The 21,303-nt window shown below is 36.5% G+C and overlaps 1 protein-coding gene across 2 annotated transcripts in view, besides 1 other annotated feature; it reads right to left on the bottom strand.

The window, feature by feature from the left end:
* Positions 1 to 21,303, bottom strand: part of PLCB1 (phospholipase C beta 1) — a 752,635-nt gene that overhangs the window by 667,147 nt on the left and 64,185 nt on the right. The window lies entirely within an intron of this gene.
* Positions 3,715 to 3,764: an enhancer, noted in NCBI's record as "active region_17536". NCBI's record gives its function as "activates an Ori minimal core promoter by ATAC-STARR-seq in GM12878 lymphoblastoid cells {active_cell/tissue: GM12878}" and the evidence as "EXISTENCE:reporter gene assay evidence [ECO:0000049][PMID:35858748]".

Here is a 21,303-nt window from a genome sequence, read left to right as displayed (position 1 = left end):
TGCATGACCTAATCACCTCTGAAAAGCCATTGTTGCACTGGGAATTAAATTTCCAATGCACATAAACTTTGGAGGACATACTGAAACCATAGCACCATTCCTTTACAACTTTCCTCAAGATCTTCAGCTCTATGCATCATCCTACTGGAAAAATCACACTGCATTTCATACTTTGGTAAGAAGTCCAAGGTCATTGATATCACAGTCTCACAAATTCCTTCCTATCACTTTCATCAGATTATTGAACAGCTACACCTTTCTCTCCACCTGGAAGCCTCTGTGCTGCTCTTCCTCTGTCCTCCCTCCTTCCATCCTCAGGGAGAGATGGGGTACTCCATCTCATCTCTTTTCTTTCTTCTTCATTCAGTCCCTTGGTTTCTTCTTGAGTTTTCTTCTCTGTGAAGTTATCAATCAGCAGATCTTGGCCTTCAACTCTACCATTTCCTGAGGCTCTGACCCCATGGTTTCACTGCACTTATTGCAGAGATCACCTAGGGTTAGAGATCCACTAGCCCTAGAATCTTCATATTTAATGGGGTCTTTACTCAGAACTGTAACACACTTTGGCTTCTGCGTGAAGGTTTCAGATGCTTTTACAAAGGAGATGTGAATAAGGAATAACTGGGGAAATGTCACCTTCAGTAAAGTGGGTTTAAAACAAGGTTTAGGAGAGGTGGACAAAGGCTTCATCACAGTACCCACTCACAGTCAGACTGAAATCATATAGAGAAGGTGAGTGACAAAGCACCTCAGTGGTGAGCCACGCACAAGAGGACACATTTGGGAGAATGTCCCTGGTAAGGGGGAGAATAGGAGGTATCTGCCACTAGTTGTGGCATGTCAAAGAAGTGGGTTGACACCACTATTTTGGTTTTGGTTTGCCCAGGGTTCTGAATGCTCTATAATGAATAGACTTAGAGCTCCATGTACTTGAGTTTCTATATAGGCACCGCAGATGTCAAATATTTTTATGTTCATCTATAGCAAGAGAAATACTCTGAATTTCTCCCTCTTATGCTATATCATTTTTGTGTACTCTTATAAGATATCTTTAAATATGAGGATTTGTGGGGCCTTTTCTCTGACCTTTTTGAGGGGAAGGATCTTCTACTTCCCAGGAAACTACCTTTGGTTGAGTGGACACCATGAGTCACGATCAGGTTTCTATTTCTACTCAACCATACCCACTTTCTATCTTTACTTAGAATCGTATTTTTAAACTCAAATTCATCTCTGAACTCTGCCTCTGTTTTAGAAGTCCTCTTTAAACTGTGGAGACCAAAACAGAACACAACACATTCTACTTTAGCTTTGTGGAAGAGAATTACAGAATTCCAGCATGGTTTCAGATTGAGGTTTGTTTCTAGCTTCAGGAGTGAATATTGCAGCCTTGTACTCAGTCTGAGATCCACAATGACCATAGCATTTGAGCTATGTTTTCCCTATCCTAAAATTTTATATTGCCCAATAGCTTTGCTAAATTCATTCTGTGAATAGAAGTCCATGCACAAAGTATGATGGGTGCTTTCAATTATAAAGACTCCCTAAGTAAAAAACATACAGTTTACATAAAACTTTGCCAAGGACTCCCAAATATGGCAGTTCTTCAACTGTGAGAGCCTTCCAATTTTTCTGAACTCATGTCCCCATGTCCTATAATCATATAAAATGTCAAAAGGATCCTAAAATATCAGCTAATTTTAACAAACTCCTCAACATCATATAAATAGGCTTTTTAAATGAAAAGCATAAAAAGAAAGAAAGCGCAAAACTGAATTACTGAATGATGTGGGTATCATCAAATTAGGGTATCATCCAATTAACTCTGCATAAAGTAGATTTCTCTCTTACGATGTGTGTACTGCTCCCTGCTGTGAATTAAATATATATATAAATATATATACATACATATAAAACTTAAATTATGGCAGATTGTCTAATATTTAGCCCTACTTCAGCACTTTTCAAAGATCTCTAAGGCTGCCTTCTGAGGCTGATTTACTTGTGCAAGTTTTGGATCTGAGCCCAGAACACTTGGTCTGTATAACCAAAACAATACTGATGGTCACGGAGCACCTGATGAACACAAATTTGTCAAGACGTACAAAAACTCTAAATGTTCACAACCTAGCCTTAGCCTCAAACTAGGACTGTTGTGAGAGAATTCCAAACAAATTGCATACTCTCTGGCTGTCGTGCTCCAAGAGGGACGGGGGCTGCGAAATGTCAGCTATTTGAAGGGAAAAAACTGGCCCCCACCACCTTCCAAAAACATACTATGGCTTCTGATTGGCTGCAATTCAAAGCTGTCCTCTGGCTTGCGAGGCGACATGATGTTGCCGTCTCTAATCCCTCAACAGACTACAAAGATGCTCCCCAAGCATCCTAGCTTCAAAGCCTTCCAAGAATCTGTTTGAACTTTTTTTTTTCTCTGTTAGCTACTTAAGTTTTCAGGTTTTTACGGCCTTTTGAGATTAACAAATCGATTCCGAAATTTAAGAAGCAGATACATCTGAGTGGGTGCTTATGGGTTGGCTTTTATTTATAGTGTGGTGGAAGGTGGGAGGAGAAAGGTCTGATGGGAGCTTTCAGAAGGTCAAGAGATCAGAACAACAAAATAATCTTCTCAGTGGCCTCAAATTCACATGGTAAACACACAGCTTCTGCATTCAGCCTGTCTATGTAAATCAGACTCTGTCCTGAAAAAGTAGCTGTGGAGCTGAGAAGGAAAAGGACTTTTTCAGCCAGTAGCACACAAAGGAATTAGATGGTGGGAAACCTATTTCAGCAATAACTGCACCATTTTCCATTTAGTTTGGACTTTTGTCTGTCTTGCCCTCCACAGCCACACCTCAAGCAAGAAAGTGCAAACAGTCCCCGCAAATAACTTCAGGAGTAGCACTTAGATCCTTTTTATATTTGAGAGTGAAAAAAGAAGGCAAAATAGCACACACCCCCAAAACTATCATCCCAAACTCCACGATTCCTTATGGGCAACTCGCAGGCCACATCAGAGGATATTATCACATGAAAAAAGAATGAGGTGACATTAGGTCTTGAAATAAAAGACATTAGTTCTAAATGGAGGAAAAGCAAGTCTGCAAAATGCAGTAGTAGGCATAGTTCAGTAGCCTTTTAATGAATGAAGACACAGGGTATTGGGCTGTTCTTGCATTGCTATGAAGAAATACCTGAGACAGGGTAATTTATAAAGAAAATGTTTAATTGGCTCTGCAGCCGGTACAGAAAGCATAACACAGATGTCTGCTTCTGAGGAGGCCTCAGGAAGGTTACAATCATGGCAGAAGGCAAAGGGGGAGGAGGGGTCTCGCATGGTGGGAGCAGGAGCAAAAGAGAAAGAGCCAGGCGCCACACTTTTAAATAGGCAGATCTCCTGAGAAGTCAATCACTGTCGTGAGGACAGCACTAAGAGGATGGCGCTAAACCATTCATGAGAAATCCGCTTCCATGATCCCATCACCTTCCACCAGGCCCCACCTCCAATACTGGGGATTACAGTTCAACAGGAGATTTGTGCAGCGACACAGATCCAAACTATGTTACATAGCTACTTTCATCAGCATATATATAATACCCATTTCAGTTGTGGTTTGTAAATCAGTCCCAAAGCTGGAAGCTTACGTGTAAGACTGCTCTTTACCTCAACCTCCTTTGTTTCGCTTTTGCTTTTTAGTCACCTTAATCAGGAGGGTTTGTAAACACATTTTCTATTGTCCCTGCTTTGGTCTAATATTTAAGGATTAAAGTATAACAGAACTGCTAGTTGTGACACTAAATTAGACTAGGACTCTCTGCCCTGTCGGAAAATGACGTTATTTGTATTTCCTTGCTAAATGCTGGAAAGTAACCGCATTACTGGGGAGAACTTCCTCCAAAAGAATCATGAACAATCTGCTTACATGCTTACAATCTGCTTACAAGTCATACAAGATAAGCAAGATCTAATTTTTAAATTCTAAGCATTCTTTTTATATTTCATGACAATTTGTGATAATGCAAACTTAATCATGTTACTCTTATGAAGACACACACACACACACCACCACCACCACCACCATTTCCCTTATTTCCACCTTGCTTAAATTCTTCATTGGCTTCTTATTGCATTTCAGATGTAACAAAAAATGCACAACAGAGCAAGCTTTATTCTGACCCCTGTTCTGGCTTTACCTTTGACCAAACTTCACCTTGTGTTCTGGGCTCAGCCACTGGGCCTTATAACTTCAACAACTCTAACTTGCTCTGCTACCTCCTGCTGCAGGGCCTTTGTATGTCTCTGATTTCAAAGCTCTTCCTCCCAGCCCACTTCCTACCCCCATTACTTTGGATAATTAGTTCTTACTCACCTTTGGAGCTAAGATCACTTCCCAGTGAGCTTTTCCCTGAAGACCCTGGTCACTGCCAGCCACCATCAGACTGAATCATGTCCTTCTGTATTCACCCTTCGCATTTTGGAAAAGCACAGGCATTCCTGCCATTATCTAATGGACATTTTTTTCTTGATCCACTAGACCTTAAGCTTCACAAAAGCAACTATGAAACATAATGCTCTTGTTTACCACTTTAGCCTTCAGGGTAACACCAGGCCCCCAAAATTCTTGGATGAATTAGTGAACACACTTTTTGTCACCATCAAGCTTTGAGACAATAGAGTTGTGAAGACTCAGAAGGAAACATGGTGTGCAATCTCAAAGGTACCTGAAGAGGCTTGAATGAAGTGGCCATTCACAAAGACAGGAGTGGAGGAAGAGAACTCAGGAAGGAAGAAACTTTGTTTTCCTTCATACAGATTTGCAAAGAAAAAAAAAATCTACAATGTCAACTTTTGATATAGCTTTCATGGTAACGAAGGTGAAAATTTAAATGTTCACATACTTTGATTCTGCATTTTCACATGTAAATTCTAAAATATGTAGTAGAATGTTCTTTGGGAGTCTCTGCATGTGGAGTGCAACTGGAACTTCAAAGTGCTCTAAATGTCCTTCGAGAGGCAAATAAATAATGGCATACTCATGCAAGGGTATATCATTCAGCCATCAGCAGTGAACAATGCTTTTGGCCAAGGTCTGAAGTTGTAGAGATGTTTCATCTTTTGCGTTTTGTATGCCTACGTGGCTTGTGTTTTCTCTAATTTTATATTGCTTTTAAAATTATAAATCTCAGTAACAATTAAGAAGAATCACTATGACTAAACCATTTCATTTTATAAATGGTAACAAAGTGACTCAGAGACATGTTTACTTGAAAAAGGTCACAGAGCAGAAAGAGGAAGTCTCCTGTCAGAATCTTACTCCAGGGCTCTTTTCACCCACCGTATTTTCTTGATGTCAATTGTATTTAGAATAAAATGCATACAAAATGGTTAGATAGTAATTCTGGAAAAAATTGAACAATTACTATGATGAGCTAAAAATTCAAATGCTGTTCTAGACTTAGGAAATTGAGTTCTCATGTATTTATGCTGAAGAAGTTTTGATTTGCTTGAAAATAAAGCAAAACAAAAATCAGGCTTTTCTAATGTACCACTAATGAATCACCCTTGTGACAATTCTTGAATTTTACTGCAATAAAAATCATAGAAACTAGGAACATCTATCACAAGAAGTAAAATACAAATATACAAATATAAATACAGTTCAGTAAATATAAATATATTGGAGAAGTTCCTTGTCCCTGGGTGGGCTGGAATGAAGTTCACTGACGTCGGAGCATAATTACTAAAAATAATTCAAACATCAATTAATATTCAAAACAATGACATTCATATTTCAGCTACTTTCAGTTGCTAATAAAAGAAATTAAAAGGCTTATAATATGAAAAGGATATTAATAGCTTAATGAAGATTGACCTAGAAAGCAGATTTTTATTTTAACCCAGGAAAGATTTATAGATAATGAACTGCTTTTAATGATTTATTTTAGGAAAACTGATACACTGGGAGATTTTGCAATCTGTTCCAATCATAATTCACAAAAGAACTGCAATAGATGTTAAGAGAAATTGAAATGAATACATCTTCTGCTCTAAAACACAAAACTAAGTAAAATTTAAGGAATCTCGGCAACTCAAAACAACACAGTCTATATGTTCCTATCTTACTTCATCATCAATATCCATCATTCTGCATCCTCTCCTTTCTCTGAAGATTTATATAGACCAATCTATATCCCTACAACTTCATTTGAATGTAATTATATGTAGAGAACCTAAAAGTCCAAATTCAGTAAAATTTGTAAATGCTCATCACTGGCATTTTTCTCATAGTAGCCAACAAACACTTCCATGTAAATGGTCTAAAATGGTGTTATGCAAATAGAGATAGAAGTATACATAAAGATTTTTCAAGAGAAACATGGGCGTGGAGAGTTTTAAGTGAATGAAATTCCGGTAGGTTTTCAACTTTCCCAAGTCTGATAAGTCTGAGATGTCTGTGGCACTGCTGGCTACTCCTGCTCCTTTCTTATCCACCCTAAACTGGTGTCCTTCTCATCCCTTAAAAAATAAAGCCAAGTCTCTCATCCAACCAGAATCTTGCTAAGGGGCATAATCTCAGGAAGTAGAATCCTCTGGGGCACCAAACAAAGGGATGTAATAAGTTTCTTCCATCCAAGGCACCATAAGCATATAAAGGTGCTTTGGTTTTCCCTGCATCATACACACGCTCAGAGTGCAGACAGGTTATAGAGTGAGGCAGTGGTAGAGCTAACAGTTTTCATTAAATAATCTTGCCTCTTTATCCCTGCTATTGAGAATGCATGCATCCATCCTGAGGGATAGTCCCAGGAGGACAAATGGGAATGAGTTGGAAGACACCTTGACAGCAGCAGAGTGTCACATCACCAAGCCTTGTGCCTCTTCTATCTCAATTCAAAATTTCAGAAATGAAATGAAGATCATTGCAGTACATATTAACATGTTCACTTGAACTAAGAAATGAAATCAGAGTTTGTCTGACATTGAGGGCTGAGTTCTCCAATTAGATTATATGTAAATAACATTTCCCATGAATTGAATTGAATGAATTAAAACTACAACTCCAAGGATTGAATACCCATAAACTTCAGATAAAAGCTTTCCTTAAAAAAAATTACATGAGCAAAAGTGTACTGAAATTACCAATATTCTGAACCTTTCTAAGTTTTACATGATTCTGCTATGTGAAAAAGTAACTGATACAGAGAATGATCCTTTGATCCCTTGCCCCAAATTGAGAAAGTAAAAGACTCCAATGCTGGTAAATAAATCCTCCTACAAGTCAGGTTGTTTCCAATTTCTCAGATTTAATGAATTTAAAGGTAAGCCTACTTAAGTCTTCCATCAACAGATTAATAAAATGGCTTTTGGTGACAAAGCACTGATGATGTTTTTTGGCATATAACTTAGGAGTTCAAAGATTGGAGAGGCATGACTATAAAACAGACTTCCATTACCACCCATTTATTTATGTGAGCATTATTTTCAGCATGTACATTTATGAAAAAGAAAAAGAGAAATACTATTGATATTAATGCTTATTTCATTTTAGTAATAATAATTTTCACCCCAGACACATGAAATAATTTTTTGAAAAGATGGTCTCATTTATCTTATTAAGAGATATATTTCCAGTAAAGTTACACTTTTCACATTAAAAATATTTATAAAGTTGGGCTCGGTGGCTCAGGCCAGGAGTGCAAGACAAGCCCGGACAACATAATAATACCCCATCTCTACAAAATAGTTAAAAATCAGCCAGGTGTAGTGGCACAAGCCTGTGGCCTTAGCTGCTTGGAAAGCTAAGGTGGGAGGATCACTTGTGCCCAGCAGTTCAATGTTATATAGAGCTAGGATCGCTCCACTGCACTCTAGCATGGGTAACAGAGTGAGTAAAATTGAAGTGGCTAAAGTGTATAAAAGCACTTAAATAGGACAGGGCTGGGATGAACACTTGTGCATGTTATATATGATGATTTTCTATGTCAGTATGTTTGCCTCTACTTAGAATAAAATGTTCTATATAGTGACATATCAAATTGATCACAAGCATGACCACTGGGTGGATCAGGGAATGAAGAGAGAAACTCCTTTTTGTTTCACATACTTCTGTATTATTTAGTTCTTCTTTCCCAACAGAAATTATGATGCCGGAATTGAAAATCATCTAATATTTTCAACCAGCAAGTACTACTTTTATAATTTAAAAAAAGAAAAACAAATAAGTTTAAGGAAATAAAATAACATTTTAAAACAATGTAACACATCACAATAAAATTACCATAAGATTACACACTTCTTTTCTGTTCCTAAGTCACATTTTACAATACCAATTGTTTGAAGACAATAACTAACTCCTCTAAGAACAAAGTCTACATTTGCTAAGAAAAGCTGTTTCCCACTTTCACTTACAATAGGAAAGTCATTTGGTTACTGAACTGAAAAACTGCAAACTGGCTTGTTCTTGTAAACTGTTCAGTTTTTCTACAATTGTTGACAAACCCCGAGGTTAAACACATTGTGTAACCTCAATACTTACTTACTTAGAAAAAAAAAACAAAAAACAGTTTCTTTTCTTCTGCCCTCAAGTTTAATTAAAATAGCAGCCAGAGTTCCTGTGGTCAGGACGGCCACCCCTTGAAGACCATCTGTACAATCCATAGAACCAGTTTTTCTTTAATGTTATCTCTACCACTATTAATCATCCTCTTCAAAGATAACTGCCTGCAAAGCATTTTTAGAAACAAACACATTAATACCATCTTGACTATCTGATTATAATCTTTACTTTTAAGAGAGCCAAGACAAAAACTGAGAAAAATTTTAATATCATTCAGAACAAAAATTTCTTCCGCTTTCTATTTTACTTAACTAATTGATCAGTGGCTTTGGATGGAAAAATTTACATTCATAAATAAAATATTTTGCACACTTTTATCTGAAAGGGTATTCTCATTTTTATGAAATTATATTCAATAATCTCATGAAATGTGAAAAAAAATCACTATCATCCTCATCTATAATTTGACTTGCCCATTTTCTTATGTTTGTGTATGTGCACCAAAAAGCATATACAAACTCCTTGGGGCAGGGACCATATTTTTATATTCCAAGAGCACTCCACATGACATCTAGGAAACAGATGCCATGATACTAAACATAGCTCTACATTTTATTAAGACATCTGTGTGTTTAGTGAGATGATAAACCCTTTAATTAATTTGAAAAAAAAACCTACTCCATAAACAAGAGACAGGATAATATTTGCTTCCCAGCAGCAATAACCTAGTGGTGGAATGAACCAAGCATGTCTATGGTTTATTGATGTATGGGAAAATGACCGCCTCCTCCCTTCCCCTTCCATCACCAGCCCTTCTCAAAGGTTGTGTCCATTATCTCCTTTTAAAAGCAGCCAGCTTTTCAGAGTTTCTAATTTTAGCTTAACTGTAGAGTGAAAAGAAATAAGTTAAGAATCACTCCATCCAGTTACATGGTTTTGCCTTCCCATCCAACAGCCCAAGAATTTCTTAAAGTCTATGGAACAATTCACTGGGGCCCCAGAATAGGACCTATGATGTCTCTGAAAAAAAGAGAAAAAGAAAAAATCAAAACAGTTATCTACGGTGTGGTTCAAATATCTGTCTAGTCTTTGGGATTCTGACAAAAGGAAGCAAATCTCCAGATGTTCTAAAAATGCCTTCCAGTGCACTAAACCCCCAGCAAAAGGCCAATTCCCTCCTCAACCTCTTCCTTCCCCCAGCATGCAGATACCCCATATGAACATGGAAGAGTAAGACTCTAGGTTAGCACCTGAAAATATTTATCTACAATTTAAAAGCTGCAGGAGGAGAAAGGAGGCAGTTATTGAAACAAGAACTTAGCCAGGCAGGTGGCTCATGCCTGTAATCCCAGTGCTTTGGGTGGCCCAGATGGGATGATCACTTGAGCCCAGAAATTTGAGATCAGCCTGGACAACAGAGTGAGACCTTGTCTCTACTAAATATTAAAAAATTAGTTGGGCGTTGTGGTGCATGACTCTAGTTTCAGCTACTCAGGAGTCTGAGGTGGGAGAATTCCTTGAACCCAAGAGTTTGAGGCTGCAGTGACCTGTGATCATGCCACTTCACACCAGCCTGGGTGACAGACCAAGATCTCGTGTCTTAAAAAAATTAAAAAAGCAAAATAATATTATAGAGGAACAAAATGGGGCAATGGAAAAGAAAATACCACCTCTGGGAGGCACTCACCAGCATCCCTTCAGACTTTCCACAGTGTTTGGTAAGTACCCACCTGGGTCCAGCACTGTACTGGACATTAGGTGAAGCTTATCTTCATAGTGATGCCATGCTTCTTTAAGGGTGTAAGATTTATAACAGCACTTTTCCTTTCTGTTTAAGAAGGACAGAGAGGAGATTCTCTGCATTGTTCCGTATAATATAAACTAGACTTTAAAATATGTGGCAGTTCATTGCAAATCATTCACTGTATTTATTAGAGCTAACTTAAAAGTAATCTTGCACTTTCTTCCCTGTAGGATGGTATTTTCAATATAATTAGAGTTTTTCATGGCAGAATTTTTTTTGTTTTCTGCACTTTTAAAATTTTATAAATATCATATAACAGCAGAAGAGAATTTAAAGGAAAAATAACTCATCCTTAATACCAACACTATAATGCAACATCTGGCTTCATTTTTGAACATCCTCTTACAGTCTTTTGTCTATAAACTAACATATTTTACATATTTATATCAGAGTGAAGGCACAATTTTTATTCTCCTTGTATTTTTCCCTAATTTTACATCTCAATATTTCCATATTGTTGCATTTTAAAAATTTATTTCTCATGGTACTTCAATAATTCCTGTTGCTGAAATATCATGATTTATGTATTTACTTTTTGAAACTTTTTATCATTTGATTCATGTCTAATTGTTTTAGTCCTGAAAATACTATAATGACAATCTTTTTTTTTTCTGCTGACTTTGTTATCCTTTATAATGACTATCTTTGTGCATGTTTTCTTTTTTTGAAATATTTTCTTGGGATACATTTATATGATTCAGCACAGCAATTTAGATAATTCTTAGTATTTACCATTCTTAGGAATAAAAATAATGAAAAAGTATGTTAGCTAAAATATAGTAAGTATTTATTTTATATTTCACATTAGTTGTGGCAGAAGCAAATCTAGATGCAGGTCCAAAAATGAATTTTACTAAATTTATCAAATTATTATATGAAAGACTATTAATTTCCAAGTCAGAGTGAGGGCATATTTCCTTCAAAAAGGTAGCAACGATAACAATGCCTTCATACTCCTTTATGAGGTTACCCATAATTCCTGTCTCATTTTATTGAATCCCACAGCTCTGAAACTAAGCAAATTTAACTGAGGGGCACTATATAAGACTTTTACATCTTATCTAAAATGTTCACAATACATAAATGATTAAAATACCAAGAAGGTGGGAGAAGGATGAGAAATGCAGGAAAATGGGAGAAGGATGAGAAATGCTGAAAGAATGTTTACCTTAAAACCAAAGCCACTGTGCTAACATCTATACAAGTCATAGGTCAGGAAAAGAGCACACACAAATGTGTTATTTTCTCATTCTCTTCTTTGAGCAAAGGTCAAAACTGGATTTGCAATGAAGCTTACTGTAGGAGGATGTTAGTTGATTCTTGAACTTGTTTAACCTTATTTCTATCGAACAGGTGAATTTAAGAAACCATGCTATTACATAACAAAGTTTTTATTGGAAAAAATAAACTATAATTTATTCATACACTGAGGATGATCTACCTATATATTAATTTAATTTTTTCCATTTTTATCATGGATAATTTTGAATATACACAAAAGTAAACTTAATAGTATAATGCACACTCAAAGCCATAAACCAGCCTCAAAAACCATTCATTCGTGGTCATCCTATCCAACCCCAACCCCTTCTCCCATGCCCCTATTCTACTTTAATCCAGTCCCAGATATCATATAATTATACCTGTAAATAATTCAGAATGTATCTCTAACGGTGTAGTTTCCCTCTTTTGCAAATAACTAAAATACCTAAAGCAAATTAATAGTAATTCCTAAATATCATCAAATACTCAATATTCAAATTATCTCACAAGTGCCATAATTTTAAAAATCCCAATCTAAATGAAAGCCATACATTGGAATTGTTTAAGATGAGCTGTATGTGTTCTAAACTATTGTTTCCCCTTCTGTCTTATTTTTTTCTTGGAATTTATTTGTTGACTAAACCAGATTGATTGTCCTGAAGATTTTCCTACTTCCTATAGTATAGTATGGACAAATTTCATCCTACATCATTTAATCATACATTTCTCTTCTCAGTGTTTTCAATAAATCAGTAGCTGGATCGAGAAGCTTGAAGAATTTCAGGTTTGATATTTGTTTTTGTATAAGTATTTCACAGAATGTATATCAAGAAGACTTTTAATTAATAAAATATACGAATGCTAATAAAGTTAGAAGCCAGAGAAGACCAGATAAGAAAAGTAGATAAGAAAAAACTCATATTGTTCTGTTTCAACATGTGTAAGAATATTAATCACCTTTTCAAGAGTCCTGTTATATTTCATAACAACATTAAATCAACTATTTTAAATAATGTTTTTTTCACTCTGTCTTTTCGGATTATTATGCTAAATGGATTTTATCATAAAGAATTTAAGGCAACTTCAAGATGGATATTCAGTTTAAATTCAAAACATATTTCTAGGATAATAACTTATTATCACAGATGGCAAAAGCAGAATAAGATTAACTGAATTCAATGTCAGAAAGCAGAAGCAACCAGTATTGTCAAATAAGTGGCAAGGAAAAAAAATGATGAAAGGGAACCCTATTATTTAAGGCAGAAAATCATAGGTGTGACACATAGGATATGATTTATAAATATTTGTTGAATAACAACAGACTTAGAATGAATGGACTATCCCAGTGTATTAGGCTGTTCTTGCATTGCTATAAAGAAATACCTGAGACTGGGTATTTTATAAAGAAAAGAGGCTTAATTGGCTCACGGTTCTGCAGGCCGTACCCGAAGCATGTGCCAGCATCTGCTTGGCTTCTGGGGAAGCCTCAGGGAGCTTTCAATCATGGTGGAAAGCAAAAGGGGAAGCCAGCATCTCACATGGTGGGAGCAAGGTTGGGTGGAAGGAGGTGCCACAAAGACAACACCAAGCCATGAGGGATCTGCCCCCATGAGCCAAACACTTTCCACCAGGCCCCATCTCCAGCACTGGGGATTACAATTCAACCCGAGATTGGAGCCCAGGACAAACATCCAAACTATATCACCTAGGGTGCTTATGAAGATGCCTGAGTTCAGTAAACAATTCTGTCTCCTTCTATGAGAAATGACAGGATGAATGATCAAGAATGATCACACCACTAACATTATGTGCCTTCACTCCAATCTTTTCCTGTGTTTCTCCAGAGAGGAAAAGCCCCTAATCCTCCAACTCCAATTATTTAGTTGTTAATAATTTAACAAATTATTTCCATCCCTCTGCTCCCTTGACACATTGCTCATGACACCGGACTACGTATTCAATTATTTCCCCACCCTGTCATTCTTAGCTCTCTCTTTCCACAGTTCATCTTCCTTCTAACCCATTCCAGTCCATTCTTAGGAAGAAAGAAACCAAAATTCTATTTTGTCTTAGGTATTTTGTCTCCCAGAAGTAGATCCTGATGCAAGGATTTGGTTGCAAGTAGGTTATCCTGAGGTGACCCCAGAAGGCACCAAGAGGGAAGTTGAGAAGTGAGACAGAGAAGGGATGGAAGGCAATGAAAGGTGTTATAAAGTACAAGTCCTTCACTATGGGCAACTGGGGCTGAATCCTGCAGGGGATTCTGGAAGACTGTATGCAATGTGCTTCAGGGTTGTACCAATTCAAGGGCAAGAACACTAAGGCACGTATTAAAAAATCTCCATCTATTATTTTGTTGCCTCTTCCCTCCAGAAACATTTGTCCTTTAATTTTCAATAAAGTGTCCTCCAAGTTTTCTCCCTGCATCTCACTTATCATTCTTCAGCAAGACAATAGATCCCTCCCATCATGCATTAAATGTTTCTGTTTTTCAGGAACCTGATTTGTCTGTGCATCTCTCCCTGAACAAGCACATCTCCTCCCTTGGCTTCAATCATCCCCCACCCCACCCCCGGCCTGGTGACATGTACTTCTCTCTTTTCAGAGCCCAAACTCATTTTCCTTAGGTAAAGTGACATTTCCACCTAAATAGTTAAGCAGGCTCCTCAAACTCAGTATGTTCAAAATAAAATTCAGTAACTTTTTCTTTTCATCACTACACTGGAAATTATTTTAAAAATAAAACAATTTCTCCATCCTAATACTCTTCCATTAATGAGTCACTTTCCATCTGGTCACACAAGCTAGACCCTTCCATATCATCTTTGCTTCTTCCTCTTCCTTATTTCCCACATTAAATTTGTCATCAATTCCATCCCTTTCTTATGTCGGTCCCACGTTCCTATTGTTCAGACTACTCCCATTGCTCAGATTCTCATCTGTATCCTCAACTCTAGTGATTTTTACTTTCTCCAGCTTCCAAATGATCCTCCATGCCACTGCCTCTGTGTGTGTACGTGTGTGTGTGTGTGTGCGCGTGTGTGTGCATACAACCCAGAATGACTGAGCTCTTCCAGCTTAAACTTTCCTGCTCCGTAATCACTACTCACTACTTGCCACGTGCACTATAATATTTCCCATTCACTAAAGAAGCAAAGTACCCTGGTGATTCAGTGTTTTGACTCGCTCCCCCTCATATGAAATACAACTCTCTTCAAGGCCTAGACCAAATTCTACTTTCTCTGCGTGTTCTTCCTCATCTCTGCTCCCACATTCACCCTCAAGTCCCTGCAAAACAAATTATTTCCATCCCTGTGCTCCCTCGACACATTGTTGATGACACTGGACTATCAGTCAACATATTGTCTGATGTGATTATTGCAGGCAAACCATCTACCTCCCACCATTATGAGGTCTTTATCCCTGTGTGGGATCCCAGAACACAATGCATTGCCTGGCACACACTGTACTCTCAACATATGCGATTGAATTAAATAAACAAGCAAGCAAACCTATTCCATGTGATATTGATATTATCTAGTCCAACAAATACCTTGATGTATTCTGCATTTGAATGTCTGCCTATCTGTCATAAATATCCACAGAAAGATAGATATCACTGTAGAAACAGACTAAGTAGAAAGTGCCCACATATGTGTGTACACATAAAATAGCTGAATTTCCAAATGGTACAATATCAACATTAACAGGAATAAAAAGTAAGCCAAGAAATAAATGCTGTAAAAAAAACATTATAGGCTGTGCGCAGTGGCTGACGCCTGTAATCCAGCACTTTGGGAGGCGGAGGTAAGCGGATCACTTGAAGCCAGGAGCTGGAGACCAGCCTAGCCAACATGGGAAACCCCATCACTACTAAAATTACAAAAATTAGCTGGGCATGGTGCGCATGCCTGTAATTCCAGCTACCACACAAGGCTGAGGCATGAGAATTGCATGAACCCAGGAGGCGGAGTTTGCAATGAGCAGAGATGCACCACTGCCCTCCAGTCTGGGCGACAGAGTGAGACACTGTCTCAAAACAACAACAACAAAATACACAAACAAAAGAACAACATTATAAAATAACTATACTGCCTTCCTGAATATACTGGCTGAGGAATAAGATTAATATTAACCATGTTGGACATTTTCATTCTGACATCTCTATTAAATATAAGCAGGAATCAAGAAGGATCTACAAAACCCAACACAGGCAATAACTCTATACTTCTTCATTCATGTTGTAGGTAAACTGTGTTCTTCATGTCTGCTCATTTAAAAAGTTAACATTTTCCTTTAAATTTTCTCAACGAGAATTTAAAAACCATGTCACTGATAGCATCATTGATTGTAAAGCTGAAAGGAAATTTTGCTTCAGAGATGAAGCATTGCTTTTCACATTGCTTTTCAGGCTATCTATAACTTGCTTCAGTATGCTTGGGAATTCCAACTGCTTGAGAAAGTAAATCCTTACTCTGGCAGAGTAATAACCTATATGAGATGGAAAGCTTCTGGAATTAAATTTTTCTTCTCCAGTTATATGTTGAGTTGAAGGCTTACTTTTGCATTAAGTACCAAATCATAATGTTGAATTACGTAGAGATTCAGGTTTATTTTAAACCTGAAACCAATAGCAGTTCTCTTGGGCACCCCAGCTGTCATCATGAAGAATCCATTTGAAGTTTTTGCTAAAAAAATTTTTGGATTTTTTTCCTCTGGCTTTAAAATAAGAATTGTATAACCCTATTTTGATTACATACATGGAGAGGCCAATTCTAAGTTATCTATTTAAGATTTAAAGGTTAAAAAAACCCACAATATTTCAAAATATAAGAAAAACAGAGGTGATTATTTTTATACTATTGCTGGAGGGGGGTCCTTTTTTAATAAATAAAACACACAAGACAGAAACTAGTAGTAAATGGCTGAGAAGAACTGGGAACATAACAAAGCTTAAATAACTAACTAAAGAAACCCAAATAAATAAGACAATTATTCTAACTTATTCTATGAAGTGGTATTATCTTGATATTGAACAAGAAAAGTCTGAGAAATAATAATCCTAGGTGGGCCTGCCTTACAAATATAGATGCAAAATAAAATATTAGCAAGAAGTTTGCAGCAGAGGAGAAAAGCTTATTTTATTATATGCAGAGAAGTCATTTGACAAAACTTAGCCTATGTATAATTTTTCTAAATCCTTCAGCGAATCAGACATAAAAGGGAACAGATCTTAATCTGTTAAGAAATATCTTCTACAAATCTAAAGCTGATATTATGCTTAATATTAAAACACAAGAAGCCTTCCCTGTAAGATCAGAGAAAATACACGGATCCAGATAAATACTGCTTTTATTCAGTATTTTATCAGAGGCCCAAGATAATTCAAGGAGATGAGAAAAATATAAAATGGTAAAACAGTTGGAAAAGTGTGTGGTGATGTATAGATTATGAATTTTCTACATAGAAAATCCAAGAGGATCTTCAGAAAAAAACTATTAAAATTCAAAAGATTGTTAAGCAAGGTTACTGGGTTACTAGATCAATATTCTAAGCTCCAATAGCATTCCTATACACAAGAATAACCAATTTTGAAAGGCAATAAAACAATTTCATTCTCTGTAATAATAAAATTTTGAAAGCACATAGAAATAAAATGGGAAGTTCAAGGACTTAATAAAGTTAGTTACATTGATAAATATTGCTGATGGTACACATTTTCTATAACAAAAGAGGTATAATTCAGTTCCTATCATACCAAACATAGAAATTGACTCCAGGTAGATTAAAGCTCTGAATGTTAAAAATGAAAATTCAAGATTTTTGGAAGAAAATATTAAGGCCTATTTCATGGCATAAGAGTAACAATGGATTTTCTAGTATGCTGCAAAAACAATACCCAGGAAGAAAAATATTGATAAGGCTGATCACATTATTATAATCATATAATGGCTATGACATACTTGTGTATATCAAAATATAGCATAAACAAAATTAAAAGAGAGACTTCCAAGAGGGAGAAGATATTAGTAATGCAAATGAGTGACAATGAATTAATATCCGGAATAAATAAATATTTTTTTAACCAATTATAAAATGCAGTGGCAAGAACAAGAACTCTAAAGGTAATTGCCTGGCTTTGAATTCAGTTTCTCCACTTGGTCCTATGTAAACTTAGGCAGTATATTCAACCTCTCTGTGCCTAAGTATGCTCACTGTAGAATCGACTTAGTATCAGGATACACCTTAAATAATTTTATGAGGATAAAATAAGTTAACATTTGTAAATGCTTAAGATATTACCTATTACAATATTCACAAATACTTGTTGCATTATCACATATTAAATATTAGTACGTACAAAGATCTTCATTATGTAGTTTATTTTTAATTATTTCAGAAGTAATATTTTAAGCAAATAAAGTTAAAAGATAAGTTATAAACTAGAAAAATTATTTGCAGTTACTGAAAAATCATTAAGATCCTTAATATATAAAATCATTAAGAATCTCACATACAAACTAATTAAAATATAAGCAACAAATCACCAAATAAGGTTGAAATAATAGGAAAAATAACTTAGGCAAGGAGGCTCAACTTCAAAATAAAGAAATAAAATAGAGGCTACATGGATATATTTTGATATTGCCAAAGATTTATTTCGGCAAACATTCATGGCAATAGGCACATTCATACATTCATGGTGGAAGTTGAAATTGGAGCAGTTTTATTCTGAGAGACAATTTAACTATATGCAATAAGACTCAATTTTTTATATACTTGACTTAATAATTCCAATTCTAGGCTTTTACCCAAAGGGAAACATCTGAGTAGAATGCACAATCAACATGCAAGGATGTCCACTACAGCGCTGCCGACAATGGCGAAATTTCCATCAATGTGAGACCTTTTAAATCAGGTACAGATCATCCACAGAAGGGGCTACTGTCCAGCCTTTAAAAATGATAATATTTGCTCAATGTTCATTGTCAAGGAAAATATATCTATTATTAAAAGCAAGTATACACTATACACACACACACACTTTTGGTAAATAAAATTGTAGATTTATAAATAATTATGTATAGCCACATAGAAAAAAAATTTTTAATGTTCCCGCAAATTAAGATGTTTCTGTCCAGATAATGGGTAATGGGTCCGTGTGTGTGTGTGTGTGTGTCTGTCTGTCTGTCTGTGTGTGTGTCTTTCTCTCTCTCCCTCTTTCTCTCCTTCACACTTTCCATCATTTGTGGAGCTTTATTGAAATGCTTACCACATAATCATAAAACTAAAAATTTGTTCTTGCTTCATGTAATTTGTAATTGTAGTTGGAAATACAAAGACTATCATTCAGTTCTTCAGAAGTGAAGGACAGGTGGATTAGCTGAGAAACCAGCCATTAGCACTAGTGTCAGATATCTAGTTTGAAGCAGCAGCAGTTCCATGCATTCTCTTTCTGAGGCAATATAAAAAAAAGAAAAGAAATACGGTCTGTGGGAATCAGCACATTTCCCTTGATGGCTGGAGTTTACATGGTCTGAGATTATTTTAAAAAAAGATCCCAAAAGGTGAGATACTTCATCCTATACATCTGTTCTCTCTTCCTAGCAGAAGAAGATACTAGGTAAGATTCTTCCTAGGCACAGGTAAGAGAGCCCCATTGCTGTCTCTTTTCCTTGGTTGTCACAGACTTCTGCAACCTTGAATGGAGAAGAGGTTCTACAGAAAATAGCTAGGAATCCAACTTACAAGGGATGTGAAGGACTTCTTCAAGGAGAACTACAAACCACTGCTCAGCGAAATAAAAGAGGACACAAACAAATGGAAGAACATTCCACGCTCATGGATAGGAAGAATCAATATTGTGAAAATGGCCATACTGCCCAAGGTAATTTATAGATTCAATGCCATCCCCATCAAGCTACCAATGACTTTCTTCACAGAATTGGAAAAAACTACTTTAAAGTTCATATGGAACGAAAAAAGAGCCCGCATTGTCAAGTCAATCTTAAGCCAAAAGAACAAAGCTGGAGGCATCACACTACCTGACTTCAAACTATACTACAAGGCTACAGTAACCAAAACAGCATGGTACTCTTACCAAAATAGAGATATAGACCAATGGAACAGAACAGAGCCCTCAGAAATAATACTACACATCTATAACTATCTGATCTTTGACAAACCTGACAAAAACAAGAAATGGGGAAAAGATTCCCTATTTAACAAATAGTGCTGGGAAAACTGGCTAGGCATATGTAGAAAGCTGAAACTGGATCCCTTCCTTACACCTTAAACAAAAATTAATTCAAGATGGATTAAAGATTTAAATGTTAGACCTAAAACCATAAAAACCCTAGAAGAAAACCTAGGCAATACCATGCAGGACATAGGCATGGGCAAGAACTTCATGTCTAAAACACCAAAAGCAATGGCAACAAAAGCCAAAATTGACAAATGGGATCTAATGAAACTAAAGAGTTTCTGCACAGCAAAAGAAACTACTATCAGAGTGAACAGGCAACCTACAGAATGGCAGAAAATTTTTGCAATCTACTCATCTGACAAAGGGCTAATATCCAGAATCTACAATGAACTCAAACAAATTTACAAGAAAAAAAACAACCCCATCAACAAGTGGGCAAAGGATATGAACAGACACCTCTCAAAAGAAGACATTTATGCAGCCAACAGACACATGAAAAAATGCTCATCATCACTGGCCATCAGAGAAATGCAAATCAAAACCACAATGAGATACCATCTCACACCAGTTAGAATGGCAATCATTAAAAAGTCAGGAAACAACAGGTGCTGGAGAGGATATGGAGAAATAGGAACACTTTTACACTGTTGGTGGGACTGGTTCAAACATTGTGGAAGACAGTGTGGCGATTCCTCAGGGATCTAGAACTAGAAATACCATTTGACCCAGCCATCCCATTACTGGGTATATACCCAAAGGAATATAAATCATGCTGCTATAAAGACACATGTACACTTATGTTTATTGCGGCACTACTCACAATAGCAAAGACTTGGAACCAACCCAAATGTCCAACAATGATAGACAGGATTAAGAAAATGTGGCACATATACACCATAGAATACTATGCAGCCGTAAAAAATGATGAGTTCATGTCCTTTGTAGGGACATGGATGAAGCTGGAAACCATCATTCTCAGCAAACTATCTCAAGGACAAAAAACCAAACACCGCATGTTCTCACTCACAGGTGGGAATTGAACAATGAGAACACTTGGACACAGGAAGGGGGACATCACACACTGGGGCCTGTTGTGGGGTTGGGGGAGGGGGTAGGGATAGCATTAGGAGATATACCTAATGTAAATGAAAAGTTAATGGGTGCAGCACACCAACATGGCACATGTATACGTATGTAACAAACCTGCACGTTGTGCACATGTACCCTAGAACTTAAAGTATAATTAAAAATATATATATTTTATATATATATATAAAGAAAAGGAGCTTGTTTGAGGCTGTTAGACAGAAGGAGTACTTGACCATCAAAGAATACTTGACCATCACCTGCCTCTATAAACGCACTGCAGCACATGTATCTTTATCCCTTTTCCTAACCCAGCTAGTAAGAACACCTACAATAATCAGATGTTGAGCTTTTATTTTCCATTTCTACAGAGGTAGAAAAAAACACCA

This window comes from Homo sapiens, chromosome 20 (assembly GCF_000001405.40).
Source record: "Homo sapiens chromosome 20, GRCh38.p14 Primary Assembly".
Lineage (NCBI taxonomy): Eukaryota > Metazoa > Chordata > Mammalia > Primates > Hominidae > Homo > Homo sapiens.
This window is presented reverse-complemented; position numbering and strand designations above follow the sequence as displayed.